The sequence below is a fragment of the Homo sapiens genome, chromosome 1 (genome assembly GCF_000001405.40).
Source record: "Homo sapiens chromosome 1, GRCh38.p14 Primary Assembly".
Classification (NCBI taxonomy): Eukaryota; Metazoa; Chordata; class Mammalia; order Primates; family Hominidae; genus Homo; species Homo sapiens.
The window spans coordinates 232,817,233-232,831,377 of record NC_000001.11 but is presented as its reverse complement, the minus strand read 5'-3'; the positions used below and the strand labels follow the sequence as shown (position 1 = coordinate 232,831,377).

The following is a 14,145-nucleotide window of genomic DNA, read 5'->3' as shown; positions in this document are numbered from 1 at the left end:
TGGATGGATCATCCCGGGACTCAACTGTAAATGAAGATTCTGATTCAACAGGTCTGAGAATCTGCATTTTTAGCAAGACTCCAGGTAATGTCAACACTACTGGCTGATGGCTTTTTGTCATGGCACTTACCATGGACTCCATTCATCCTAACACCTGGTGTTCAAGGTTATAGGTGACTTTGTGTCAGAGGCACTGGTGGTACTGAACTTTCCCCAAGTCCTGTGCCTCTTGAAAACAGGGGAGATTACAAAACTAGCCCTTCCCAACACACACCTTCAGTGTTCCAAAACATGACTTCTTGCAAGGAATTCCCCTTCCCCATAAGATTTAGATAAAACCCACCGATGACCTCCTTGTTTACCTATGACAAGGTCAGACACGGACCTTCCAATTCCCATTCTGTGTCTCATGAATGATTAGCCATTGGTCCCCACTGGCCAGTGTGGACAAAATGCCATCAATGTGACTTGACCAAACTCTGCTCAGGCTCCTCACCTTCCCCCAGGCCCCTGGACTTTGGTCCTTTCTTGCATGTAGGAATGCAGAACAGCCTCTCTATAAGACCTGCTCCAGAGAATGCAATGGCCACAAACAGAGACTGAGCCACTGTTTGATCATGCCACTGCCTCATCCCACTCCCCCACATGCTTCTTGGTAGGCTTCTCTACTCCTTATGAAAGAAAGACCTTTTTCTGCTGACCTCAGAGATGCACACTGATCCCATGGTTATGGCACTCTCTGCATTGCTATAGTCTCCTTCCCTAATGCTGCAGTTTCCTTTCCTAGAGCAAGAGTCTCCCCACCCTTGTTGCAATAATCCTTTTGCATATCATCTCTCCTTACCTGAGGTCAATTTATTTTCTCTTTGCTTTTCTTTTTTTTGAGACGGAGTCTTGCTCTGTCGCCCAGGCTGGAGTGCAGTGGTGCAATCTCGGCTCACTGCAACCTCTACCACCCAGGTTCAAGCAATTCTCCTGCCTCAGTCTCCTAAGTAGCTGGAATTGCAGGTGTGTACCACCAGGCCCGGCTAATTTTTGTATTTTTAGTAGAGACCTGGTCACCATGTTGACCAGGCTGGCCTCGAACTCCTGACCTCAGGTGATCCACCTGCCTCGGCTTCCCAAAGTGCTGGGATAACAGGCTTGAGCCATCTTGCCCTGCCCCATTATGCTTTGAGGGATTTACTTCTTTGGGTTTGAGATGTAGATCCCTTGAAAATCTAGAATCTCTTGTCTGAATCTACAGTAAGAACTGCTTTTCCCACATGATTATAATCACCTTCTTAATTATCTGTGTCTCACAGTAGATTGTAAACGGGGACAACAGGGACTGTGTCTGACTTATTTCTCATGTTCCCCTAGACTTTTACAAAGCATTCATGTGGTTAAGTGCTGTATATGTGCTGAACAAGTGAATGATTATTAGAAATATTGATGGTAGGTGCCATGTTTTGAGATGCTGGAATATTTTAAAATGTGCAATTTACCTACATTGTTTAGGAAATGAATATAGATAAATTTAGCCTAGTCATTTGACCATATATCTCTCCAAATTGTCCTTTCAGTAAGAAGTCTCATATTCAAAATGGGGTATTTGGATAATCAGCATCTAAGCTTTGTTTCCATTGTGAATGAGTCTCCACTAAGCATGGCCTATGTCTCTGAAATAAAAGTCCTTCAAACCACAGGATCTCAGCACTAGAAAAATATTAAGAGAAAAATTTGAAAGAAATTTCCTAAACACAGTGCTAGGAACAGTCAATCACAGGAGAAATCTTTTCCCACTGAGCAGTATATTGCTATCAGAACCTGGGAAATAATAAGCAAAGTACATTTAAATGGAAAAAATTACTCCTTTCAATAACTCTAGCTTTCGAAGTATGTATAGAAAGAAATTCAGAGCTAATGGATCAACTTTAGTGAGCCTAAGCAAAAACCAATTTGGAAAACCCACACTTCAATTAACCTGAAATGAAAACTGGGGTGACAGAAAAAAAGATACAGCTAATAGAAGACATTAAATTAGTGCTTTTCTTGACCCAAGAGACAAAAGAAGAAATAAATTTATCATGATTTACCTTTCACATAGAGGAAAAAAATCTGAATACTTTCCAAAATATTAATTTGTTTCCAAAGTGCTTAATGATTAGGTATATTCCTTTTTTTTTTTTTTTTTTGCAGCTATTGTAAAAGGGGTTGAGTTACTGATTTTTGTGGGCTTTTTTTGTTGTTTTGTTGTTGTTGTTGTTTTGAGATGGAGCCTCGCTCTGTTACCCAGGCTGGAGTGCAGTGGCACGATCTCAGCTCACTGCAACCTCTGCCTCCCGGGTTCAAGTGATTCTCCTGCCTCAGCCTCCCAAGTAGCTGCGATTACAGGCACGCCATCACAGCCCCGCTAATTTTTGTATTTTTAGTAGAGACAGGGTTTCACCGTGTTGGCCAGACTGGTCTCAAACTCCTGACCTCAGGTGATCTGCTCACCTCAGCCTCCCAAAGTGCTGAGATTACAGGCATGAGAGACAATGCCCGGCCTGAGTTGTTGATTTCATTCTCAGCTTGGTCGCTGTTGGTGTATAGAAGAGCTACTGATTTGTGTACATTGATTTTGTATCCAGAAACTTTGCAGAATTATTTTATCAGTTCCAGGAGCTTTCTGAAGGAGCCTTTAGGGTTTTCTAGCTAAACAATCATATCATCGGCAAACAGCAACAGTTTGACTTCCTCTTTACCAATTTGGATGCCCTTTTTTTCTTTCTCTTGTCTGATTGCTCTGGCTAGGACTTCTAGTACTATGTTGAAGAGGAGTGGTGACAGTGGGCATCTTTAAGGAAAACTACAAAACACTGCTGAAAGAAATCATAGACAACACAAACAAATGGAAACACACCCCAAGCTCATGCTCGTGGATAGGTAGAATCAATATTGTGAAACGGACCATACTGCCAAAAGCAATCTACAATTCAATGCAATTCCCCTCCAAATATCACTATCATTCTTCACAGAATTAGAAAAAAAAAATCCTAAAATTCATATGGAACCAAAAAAGAGCCCGCACAGCCAAAGCAAGATTAAGCAAAAAGAACAAATCTGGAGACATCACATTACCTGATTTCAAAGTATACTATAAGGCCATAGTCACCAAAACAGTATCATACTGGCATAAAAATAGGCACATAGACCAATGGAACAGAATAGAGAACCAAGAAATAAACCCTAATACTTACAGCCAACTGATCTTCAACAAAGTAAACAAAAACGTAAAGTAGGGGAAAGACACCCTATTCAACAAATGATGCTGGGAAAAATGGCAAGTCACATGTGGAAGAATGAAACTGGATCCACATCTCTTAGGTTATACAAAAATCAACTCAAGATGGATCAGGAATTTAAATCTAAGACCTGAAACTATAAAACTTCTAGAGACAACATAGGAAAAACTCTTCTAGACATTGGCTTAGGCAAGGATTTCATGACCAAGAACCCATTTAAGCAAATGCAGTAAAAACAAAGATAAATAGTTTAGACTTAATTAAACCAAAGAGCATTTGCACAGCAAAAGGAACAGTCAGCAGAGTAAACAGACAACCCACAGAGTGGGAGAAAATCTTCACAATCCATACACCTGACAAAGGACTAATACCCAGAATCTACAATGAACTCAAACAAATTAGCAAGAAAAAACCAAACAGTCCCATCAAAAAGTGGGCTAAGGACATGAATAGACATTTCTCAGAAGAGGATATACAAATGGCCAACAAACATATGAAAAAATGCTCGACATCACTAATAATCAGGGAAATGCAAATCAAAACCACGATGCGATACCACCTTACTCCTGGAAGAATGGCCATAACCAAAAAATCAAAAAATAGGCCTGGCATGGTGGCCCACACCTGTAATCCCAGCACTTTGGGAAGCCGAGGTGGGTGGATCACCTGAGGTCAGGAATTTGAGACTAGCCTGACCAATATGGTGAAACTCTTTCCTGTCTCTACTAAAAAATACAAAAATTAGGCAGGCATGGTGGTGCACGCCTGTAATTCCAGCTACTCAGGAGACTGAGGAAGGAGAATTGCTTGAACCTGGGACGCGGAGGTTGCAGTGAGCCGAGATTGTGCCACTGCACTCCAGCCTGGGCAACAGAGCAAGACTCTGTCTCAAAAACAAAACAAAACAAAAAAATAAATAAATAAATAATAGATGTTGGCATGGATGCAGTGAACAGGGAACACTTCTACACTGTTGGTGGGAATGTAAACTAGTACAATCACTATGGAAAACAGTGTGGAGATTCCTTAAAGAACTAAAAGTAGATCTACCATTTGATCCAGCAATCTCACTGCTGGGTATCTACCAAGAGGAAAAGAAGTCACTATATGAAAAAGATACTTGTGCATGCATGTTTATAGCAGCACAATTTGCAATTGCAAAACCGTGGAACCAACTAAAATGCCCATCCCATCAATCAATGAATGGATAAAGAAACTGTGAGATATATATAGATACACATACACACACACATACACACACACACACGATGGAATACTACTCAGCCATAAAAAGGAATGAGTTAATGGCATTCACAGTGACCTGGATGAGTTTGGAGGCTATTATTCTAAGTGAAGTAACTCAAGAATGGAAAAACAAACATCATATGTTCTCACTCATGTGTGTAGGCTAAGCTATGAGGATGCAAAGGCATAAGAAAGACACAATGGATTTTGGAGACTCAGGGGGAAAGGGTTGGAAGGAGGTGAGGGATAAAAGATCACAAATTGGGTGCAGTGTATACTGCTTGGGTGATAGGTGTGCCAAAATCTCACAAATCACCACCGTAGAACTTATTCATGTAACCAAGCACCACCTGTTGTCCAATAACCTGTGGAAATAATTTTTTTTAGAAAGAAAGGGTGCTTAATGAGACTTTTGGTCTACTTACTGATCTAAAGAAAACATATGGTGGTAAATGGTTTGAAAACACAGCTCAAATTATTTTCTCCCTGCATCTATGCCCTTTTGCAGTGTGAGTTTGTAGCTCCTGGCAACAGAGGTGTAGTTTTTTGTTTTGTGTGCGTGTGTTTTTCCCCACCCATTGTATCTCAACTAGCCTTGTGACTTACTTTGACAAGCAGAATGAAGCGCATGGGATATTGTGTCAGTTCCAAGTCTAGTATCAAGAGGCTTTGCACATTCTGTTCATTCTCCTGGAACCATGCCACTACCATTAAACCAGCTTGGACTTTTTCTGATGATGCTGGGAGCCATGTGGAAGAAAACCAAGGTGCCCCAGCTTGCTCACAGCCAGTTCTGGAAGCAAAAGTATCTGGCCTGCCTGCAGCAAGCCGAAGACTCACTAGTGAGCCCAGGCAACACAGACCAAGTCAGAACCACTTGGCTGACTTGAGTAATGAATCATTGCCTTAAGTTTTTGGGTGTTTTTCCAGTTCACTCATAAAAAAGATTCACTCATTAATTGTCAAAGAAATTAAAACTAAACCAGCAAAGTCGGACCATTTATTGTCTAATAGATGGATGAAAATAAACAAGGATGTTCATTCACAGAGTTTGTAATTATATGGAAAGCTGGAAGGTGCAACTTTTTTAGAAGACAATTTGGCAATATGTATTAAATTTTCAAATGTGCCAGCTATTACTCTTCTTGGATAGTATTCTAAAAAAAATTATATAAATATGTGATGATTTATTAACCTCATTTATAACACTAATGTTAGAGAATCAATGTGAATGTTCTTCAACAAGCGATGTGTTTTTAAAAAATATTATGGTATATCCATGCAACGGAGTACTGAGCACTCATTCAAAATGATATTTATTTATGCTGACATGGAAAGACTGCCACACTATTGTCACTGTTATTAAATGATGATTAGAATAATAGGATATTTCTATTTTTTGACATTTAACAAAAAAACTATGAATAGAAAGTATTTAGAACAATATGCTTTGAAATATCAGCTATTATTTCTAGGAATGAGATTATAAGTGATTTCCATTTTCTGTTTATACATCTGAATAACTTAATTCTATTGATTGATTAATTGATTGATTGAGACAGGGTCTCACTCTGTCACCCAGGCTGGAGTGCAGTGGCGCCATCATGGCTCACTGCAACCTCTGCCACCTGAGTTCAAGTGCTTCTCCCTCCCAAAGAGCTGGGATTACAGGCCTGAGCCACCGCACTGGGCTGAATCATTTAGTTTTAAACAAAAGTATTTGTCATGCTTAAATTCTGGAAAATTATGTCTACTTTTTAAATGGTTTTAAACTCCTTTATTAGGTACAACATTAAACTAAATTGACCTGTTTGATTACAGGTTTTTATTCTGAGAATGCATTTCTTTGTTGTTGACAAAAACAAGGAAATGCTTTCTTCAGAATAAAGAAATGCGTTCTAATTTTATTTTATTTTATTTTATTTTATTTTATTTTATTTTTCTTTTCTTTTTTTTTTTTTATTATACTTTAAGTTTTAGGGTACCTGTGCACATTGTGCAGGTTAGTTACATATGTATACATGTGCCATGCTGGTGCGCTGCACCCACTAACTCGTCATCTAGCATTAGGTATATCTCCCAATGCTATCCCTCCCCCCTCCCCCCACCCCACCACAGTCCCCAGAGTGTGATATTCCCCTTCCTGTGTCCATGTGATCTCATTGTTCAATTCCCACCTATGAGTGAGAATATGCGGTGTTTGGTTTTTTGTTCTTGCGATAGTTTACTGAGAATGATGATTTCCAATTTCATCCATGTCCCTACAAAGGACACGAACTCATCATTTTTTATGGCTGCATAGTATTCCATGGTGTATATGTGTCACATTTTCTTAATCCAGTCTATCATTGTTGGACATTTGGGTTGCTTCCAAGTCTTTGCTATTGTGAATAATGCCGCAATAAACGTATGTGTGCATGTGTCTTTATAGCAGCATGATTTAGAGTCCTTTGGGTATATATCCAGTAATGGGATGGCTGGGTCAAATGGTATTTCTAGTTCTAGATCCCTGAGGAATCGCCACACTGACTTCCACAATGGTTGAACTAGTTTACAGTCCCACCAACAGTGTAAAAGTGTTCCTATTTCTCCACATCCTCTCCAGCACCTGTTGTTTCCTGACTTTTTAATGACCGCCATTCTAACTGGTGTGAGATGGTATCTCATTGTGGTTTTGATTTGCATTTCTCTGATGGCCAGTGATGATGAGCATTTATTCATGTGTTTTTTGGCTGCATAAATGTCTTCTTTTGAGAAGTGTCTGTTCATGTCCTTCGCCCACTTTTTGATGGGGTTGTTTGTTTTTTTCTTGTAAATTTGTTGGAGTTCATTGTAGATTCTGGATATTAGCCCTTTGTCAGATGAGTAGGTTGCGAAAATTTTCTCCCATTTTGTAGGTTGCCTGTTCACTCTGATGGTAGTTTCTTTTGCTGTGCAGAAGCTCTTTAGTTTAATTAGATCCCATTTGTCAATTTTGGCTTTTGTTGCCATTGCTTTTGGTGTTTTGGACATGAAGTCCTTGCCCATGCCTATGTCCTGAATGGTAATGCCTAGGTTTTCTTCTAGGGTTTTTATGGTTTTAGGTCTAACGTTTAAATCTTTAATCCATCTTGAATTGATTTTTGTATAAGGTGTAAGGAAGGGATCCAGTTTCAGCTTTCTACATATGGCTAGCCAGTTTTCCCAGCACCATTTATTAAATAGGGAATCCTTTCCCCATTGCTTGTTTTTCTCAGGTTTGTCAAAGATCAGATAGTTGTAGATATGCGGCGTTATGCGTTCTAATTTTAAATGAGTATAAAATTGGGGCCAGACGTGGTGGCTCACGCCTATAATCCTAGTGCTTTGGGAGGCCCGGGCAGACGGATTGCCTGAGCTCAGAAGTTCAAAACCAGCCTGGCCAACATGGTGAAACTCCATCTCTACTAAAATATAAAAAATTAGCTGGGTGTGGTGGTGGATGCTTGTAGTCCCAGCTACTCGAGCATCTGAGGCATGAGAATTGCTTGAACCCGGGAGGCAGAGGTTGCAGTGAGCCAAGATTGTGCCACTCCTCTCCAGCCTGGGCAACAGTGTGAGACTGTCTCAAAAAAAAAAAAAAAATTAAAGATTCCTTATTTGTTTTTGTAAATATGAGAGGGAAAGTTTCCCATACATCAAGAATGGCCTGGAAATAGCAGTATATTAATCAGTAAATTTTGGTGTTTCAAACGGAGATGTTTGATCCAGAAAAACTAAAGAACATTCATCATGACACAGATTTGTTTTTCCATTTAATCAAATCAAGAGGGTCTTTCAATATTTTTGTAAGAGGGCTGGAAATAAAGAGGAAACTTGTGCAAATTAATCAACAACATTAATCAAATGCCTACTGTGTACAGGAATTATTCTGGTTGCAAGTGAGAGACCTATAAATCTAAAATGGTCTTTTTTTAAAAAATGAGTTTACTTGCTAATGCAATTTAAGAGTCCAAGAATTAACTCTTTTCAGATGTATGACATAAGACTCAACGTGACCAGGACTGTTTCTGTGTTTTTATTTTTTGGTGTTGGCTCCTCCTCGGAAAGAATCTCTCTTGTGATTGCTTCCAAGATGGGTTCCAACATACTTCATCATTCAGACCCAGTGGGAAAAATACAATGTTCCTCCCAGAACAGTTTTAAAACATTTCCTGATGTGAAATCATGTGCCATCCAATTACCCTTCCTGGAAGAGTAAATATGCTTGCTGTTTTAAACTAGAGGTGGGAGTAAGCTCTTCAAATCACAATGCTCAGGAGAAGTGATTGAGGAGCTTTCCCAGAGGAAAATTACAGTAAACTGTTATAGCTAAAGAACAGTGAAGGGATTCTAGGTGATAAAATTAATAGATGTTCACTACAGTCCTCTAGAAGATTATTTAGAGAATAAAAAGACTTTTAAAATGCATTCTGAGCCACAAAATTATCACATAGAAGCAGGGAATAAACTACAGATACATGAAAAATAATTGCAATTAAAGACTCAGAATTCTAAATTATCACATAGAAGCAAGGAATAAACTACAGATACATGAAAAATAATTGCAATTAAAGACTCAGAATTCTAAGTGGTAAGTTAGTTGTACAAATAACAAATGCATCTCAGAAGAGAAAACATCACTGTGTGTTTCAATGATTAGCCAAATGTTATCCCTTCATTTAATGGTTTTGGTAATAGCATGATGCTTTAAAATGTTCCTGCTCAATCTAGGCTTTTTTGAATTCTTGAGTTTTAACCATGCCATTAAGTGATTTGTCTTTGGGCCTTAGACCCAAGATGTGAGGTTTTGAAATAATTTTCCTGTGATTGCAATAAAGATAATAAATTGATTATCATTTGAAATGCTTTTCCATTGAGTTTGAATGCCTTTCTTTTTTCTTTCTTGAACATATATAATGGAAAACATCTTTATAATTATTCCCAAGTACTGAAATTTTAATCTCCATTTTGTAATTGAAATTTTCTCTGCCGCTAAGTGGTTTTTCTGGATCCTTAACAGGCTAAGAACATCTAAATGTTGATCATTTTCTCAAGGGAAAAGAGGAAAAACATATATAGGGAGAGTAAGTCTTTGTTGTTATTGTTGTTGTTGTTGTAAAGAAAATTCTGTCTTCAGTTTCCATTGCCATTTTTTTGTGAACCCTTTTTAAAAAACACTACTTTTTTTTCTTACTTAAATTGCCTAAGTATCTATTCATTAAACGAATATTTATTGAATGCAAAACATCAGCATATGCCAGCCTAATAGAAGCTGTACTAAAAGCTGCATATACAGTGGTGGACAAAACAGTCATAAGTCTCTATCATCAAAGAGTTTATAGTCTAGGGAAGAAGACACAAAATAAAAAAGTAAAAAATATAAACAAATAGAAAAAGCTATTGATATGTTATATATTATAACATATTATTGATATTATATGTTGTAATAAACTATAAAAGAATTAACAAATGCAATGATAGAAAATAATGCGGTGTGGGCAAGGTGAGATTGAGAAACTTGATTTGATAGGATTTTCATAATGCCTCTCTGAAGAGGTGACATTTAAATAGAAACCTAAAAGATGAGAAGGGCATGTGAAAAGCAGAGTAATAAGTACTCTGTGTAGGAGATCGAGAGTTCCCTGCAAGGTGAACAGCTCAAGCAAAGGCCCTGGGGTGTAAATGAGTTCTCCATGTTTAAGGAACAACAGCGGGGACGGTGTGCCTGGAACATCAGAGGGCAAGTTGGAGTGAGGTATGAGGTGCATTTGGAGAGGCAAGTAGAGATCCGACCATATGGGGGCTTGTAAGCCTATGATCAAGAATTTGGATTTTACTGAAAATCCAAAAGAACTAAAAGAAAGAACTAAAAGAACTAAAATACTAAAAGAACTAAAATACTAAAAGAACGCCATTAATGTGTTTTAAGCAGTGAAGAATTACGGCCCGATAGATATTTTTAAAGATAACTCTGTCTGCCATGCAGTGAATAGATTGAATGGGGCAAAGCTGAAAATGGGAAGAACAGTAAAGAGGCTGCTGTAACACTTAGCCATGGCTTATTTCAAGGTGTGGGTAGGAAGCAGTGCCACCAGGATGGGTTGATGGATTGGATGTGGAAGGTGAATAGAAGGGACAATGATGCCAGTTTTCTGGCTTAAGTCATCAGAGAGGTGGTGGCTCTACAAAACTGGGAAGATGCATCAGTCAGGATCTTGGCAGGAAACAGATGGTACACTCAGACAAGATCACTGATGAAAGTTTAATGGCAGGCGCTGTTTACAAAGCAGTGGACAGAGTTAAGAGAAACAAACAAGGGATGGTGAAGGACTCCAGAACTACCAATGCAAGGAGCCATTATCCTTCCTAGGTCTGAAAGGTCAAGTGGAGTAGTCAATTCCTGAAACTGAGAGTTGTAGTTGTAGCCAGAGCTAAAAAAAAGAAAACAAAAAAAAGTTCCATGAAAGTTGTGACTTTCATGTAGAAATGCAGCCACTACCAACTCAAGGCTGGCAGGAAGGGAGCCAGGGAACTCAATACCCCAACTTTTCTCTCCTCCTGCCCTCCAATCTCCTGCCCGACCTCACCACCAACAAACCCGAAATAGAAGCCGAAATCCAAAGTTGACCACTGATGCAGCCTATACAGGTAGCAGCATCCTGGGCTCAAAGCAGGGTGGAGAAAGGTACAGAGAGAATAGAGGGTGCAAATGGAGAATGCTCAGTACCCATAGCTAGTAGAGGAACTATTTTGGGGAGTGGGAATCAAAAGTCACATTTTGTACTCATTAAGTTTGAGACATCTGTGAAACATAAATTGATATTTCAGGTAGAAATATGAGTCTACAACTCGGAAGAGAGATTTGCATTGAAAATTAAAATAGGGAAGTTATCAGCATCTAGGTTGTTTTTAAAGCAATAGGAGAGATGAGATAACTGAGACAGTTTAGAGAGAGATTTAAAAAAGCAGGAGTAAGAGCTAGAATCCAGTATTTGGATGTAGAGTGAGAGTCTAGAAAGGTAGTGGAAAAATTAGAAGAGTGGGATGTCAAGAAATGCAAGAATGGAAAGTGGCAGAAGATATAGTAAGTAGGTAAGTATGTTGAATGCAACTGAGAGGTCAGTAAAATAAATACAGAAATGTGTTCATTGGAGTCAGTGAAAGTAAATAGACAATCTTTGACTCCTTTTTTACTTTTCAAAATCATATTTTTAAAAATCTTTAGGCCAGGTACAGTGGCTCACGCCTGTAATCCCAGCACTTTAGGAGGCCGAGGTGGGTCAATCACGAGGTCAGCAGTTCGAGACCAGCCTGACCAACATGGTGAAACCCTTTCTCTACTAAAGATACAAAAAGTTAGCCGGGCGTGGTGGCACATGCCTGTAATCCCAGCTACTCGGGAGGCTGAGGCAGGAGAATCACTTGAACCTGGGAGGCAGAGGTTGCAGTGAGCCAAGATCACGCCACTGCACTCCAGCATGGGTGACAGAGTGAAATTCCTTCTCAAAAAAAAAAAAACAAAAACAAAAACAAAAAAAAACTTTAAACAACTTTACATGTTTTATAAAAGTATATAAAGTACACTAAATTTTAAAACTTTAGGAAACAACAGCAGTCCAATTGATATTTTTAATCATATATTAATAAAATCAGGTCCCCAAACAATGTGAGCACCAAGTTCTACCACAAAGAAACACAAGGCCCAGACATGTTTATAGGCAAGTTTTACCAACCCCTAAAGGACAAATTACTCCAATATGTTAAGAAATCTATTTCCTTGATCTTCATAAAGTGACCCTATAATTCACATGGAAGAAAAAGGGCCAAAAAGAGTCTAGAAATGCACTTTTCAAAGTGTGATTAGAAATTCTTTGGGGTTCCCAAGAACCTTTTGGGAAGGGTCAGGACGGGGTCCATGAGGTCAAAACCATTTTCATAATAATGCTGAAACGTTATTTGCCATATTCACTCTCATTCTCTCATTAGTGTACTGTGGAGTTTTCCAGAGGTTACATAATATGTGATATCATGATAGATTGAATGAAGAAGCAGGTAGGAGGCTCTAGCTATCTTCAATTAAACAGATATGATAATCTAGCTATCTTCTATTAAGCCAGGCATTTTTTAAAATGGCAAAACTGTAAAACAATGCCATTCTTCTAAATGTTTGCTTTGGAAAATTTATTACCTTTATTTTGAAAATGTTATATTAACATGTAATGGGTTTGCTAATATTACTTTTAAATGAATTCATAAATAAGCATTAAATATCTTAATTTTTAATTTCTAATAGAGCAAATATTGATGGATATAATCCACATTTAAAAAACTCTTTGGAATTTTCAGTAATTTCTAAAAATGTAAGGGGTTCCTGAGACCAAAAGTTTAAGAACTTCTGGCTTAGCATAAAAAAGGAAGAAAAATAGAGGGTAGCCTTTTCTCTCTGAATATCAAGACTGACTGTAAAGCTAGGGTAATTAAATATATAGCAGTAAAAATGAAAACATTTATCCTTTGCCAGTTTTGGGCTAGGAGGTGAAGAAACAAGAACTCTCACATGCTGCTAGTGGCATGGTGAATGGTTCAACTGCTATGGAGAGTGATTTGGCAATGTTGAAGATATGCATAACTTAGGGCCTGGTATTCCAGTTCTACATATAAAACCCTAAGGAAATTCGAGCGCATGTGAACAGAGAGACAAGAATATGAATTACAGCACTGTTTCCATTAAGGGAAATCTGGAAACAACCTATGCATCCCCCAGTAGAAATGGGAAGGAAATACAGCAAGCCTAGAGCAAGAGTTACTCCTTGGAAGGGAGGCCAAAGCAATGGGGAGGGGAAACAAAAGACTTTCAGTTGTGTCTATTTATTTATGAGAAAATAAGGGAGGGAGGGAGAAAAAGAAAGACTAAAAACGCAGTCCAGTGTCATCACTGAGTTAAATCTGGGTGATGTGTACATAGGAGTTCGTTGTGTTATTTATTCTTCTGAATGTTTGAAATGCTACATAATAAAAACAAGCTACTGGGACCACATTCATTTGCATTATCCTTCTGTATAGTGCACACAGTGAAACTGGTTGCCTACGAAGAGAATGTTAAAATTTAAATTCAGGTACAAAGTGGTCTAAATATACACCACAGTCTAGCTCTTCCTAACACTCTGATAGTGTTAAAGGAAGTTTTATTTGTTGTGGGTTTTATAACCAAGCTATTTGAAGGAATGCAGTTGAAGCATGGAGATCAGAGCGTTTCAATCTTCTGGTGTCTCCTAGGAGGTGCCATATGTTGGAACCATTGTCAGCCAGAAAAACATCCGCTACAAAAGTGCATCCTTCTGGGGGAAGTCAGTTTGCATAACTCATCCAAGAGTAAATTCAGACAATGGGGCAGCATCAAGAATGGGCAGTGATATCACCCTGGTCTGTGGTCATCTCCATTCTTAAGCCAGGTGGATCCAAATATTATCAGCCAAGTGGATTGGTTTGAGAGATTATCAAAATAGTTCTGTCTTGGTTTACACCTTGAGATAGCAGGGGACTAAGCAAGCTAGTTTCATGGATGATTATTCCCAGCGTCCAACCTCCAAATTTCTGGATAGCAGAGTAACTCTTAGCTAAGCAGTGAGGT

The 14,145-nt window shown here is 38.6% G+C and overlaps 1 long non-coding RNA gene across 1 annotated transcript in view; it reads right to left on the bottom strand.

The window, feature by feature from the left end:
* Nucleotides 1-14,145, bottom strand: part of LOC101927711 (uncharacterized) — a 92,142-nt gene that overhangs the window by 76,093 nt on the left and 1,904 nt on the right. The window lies entirely within an intron of this gene.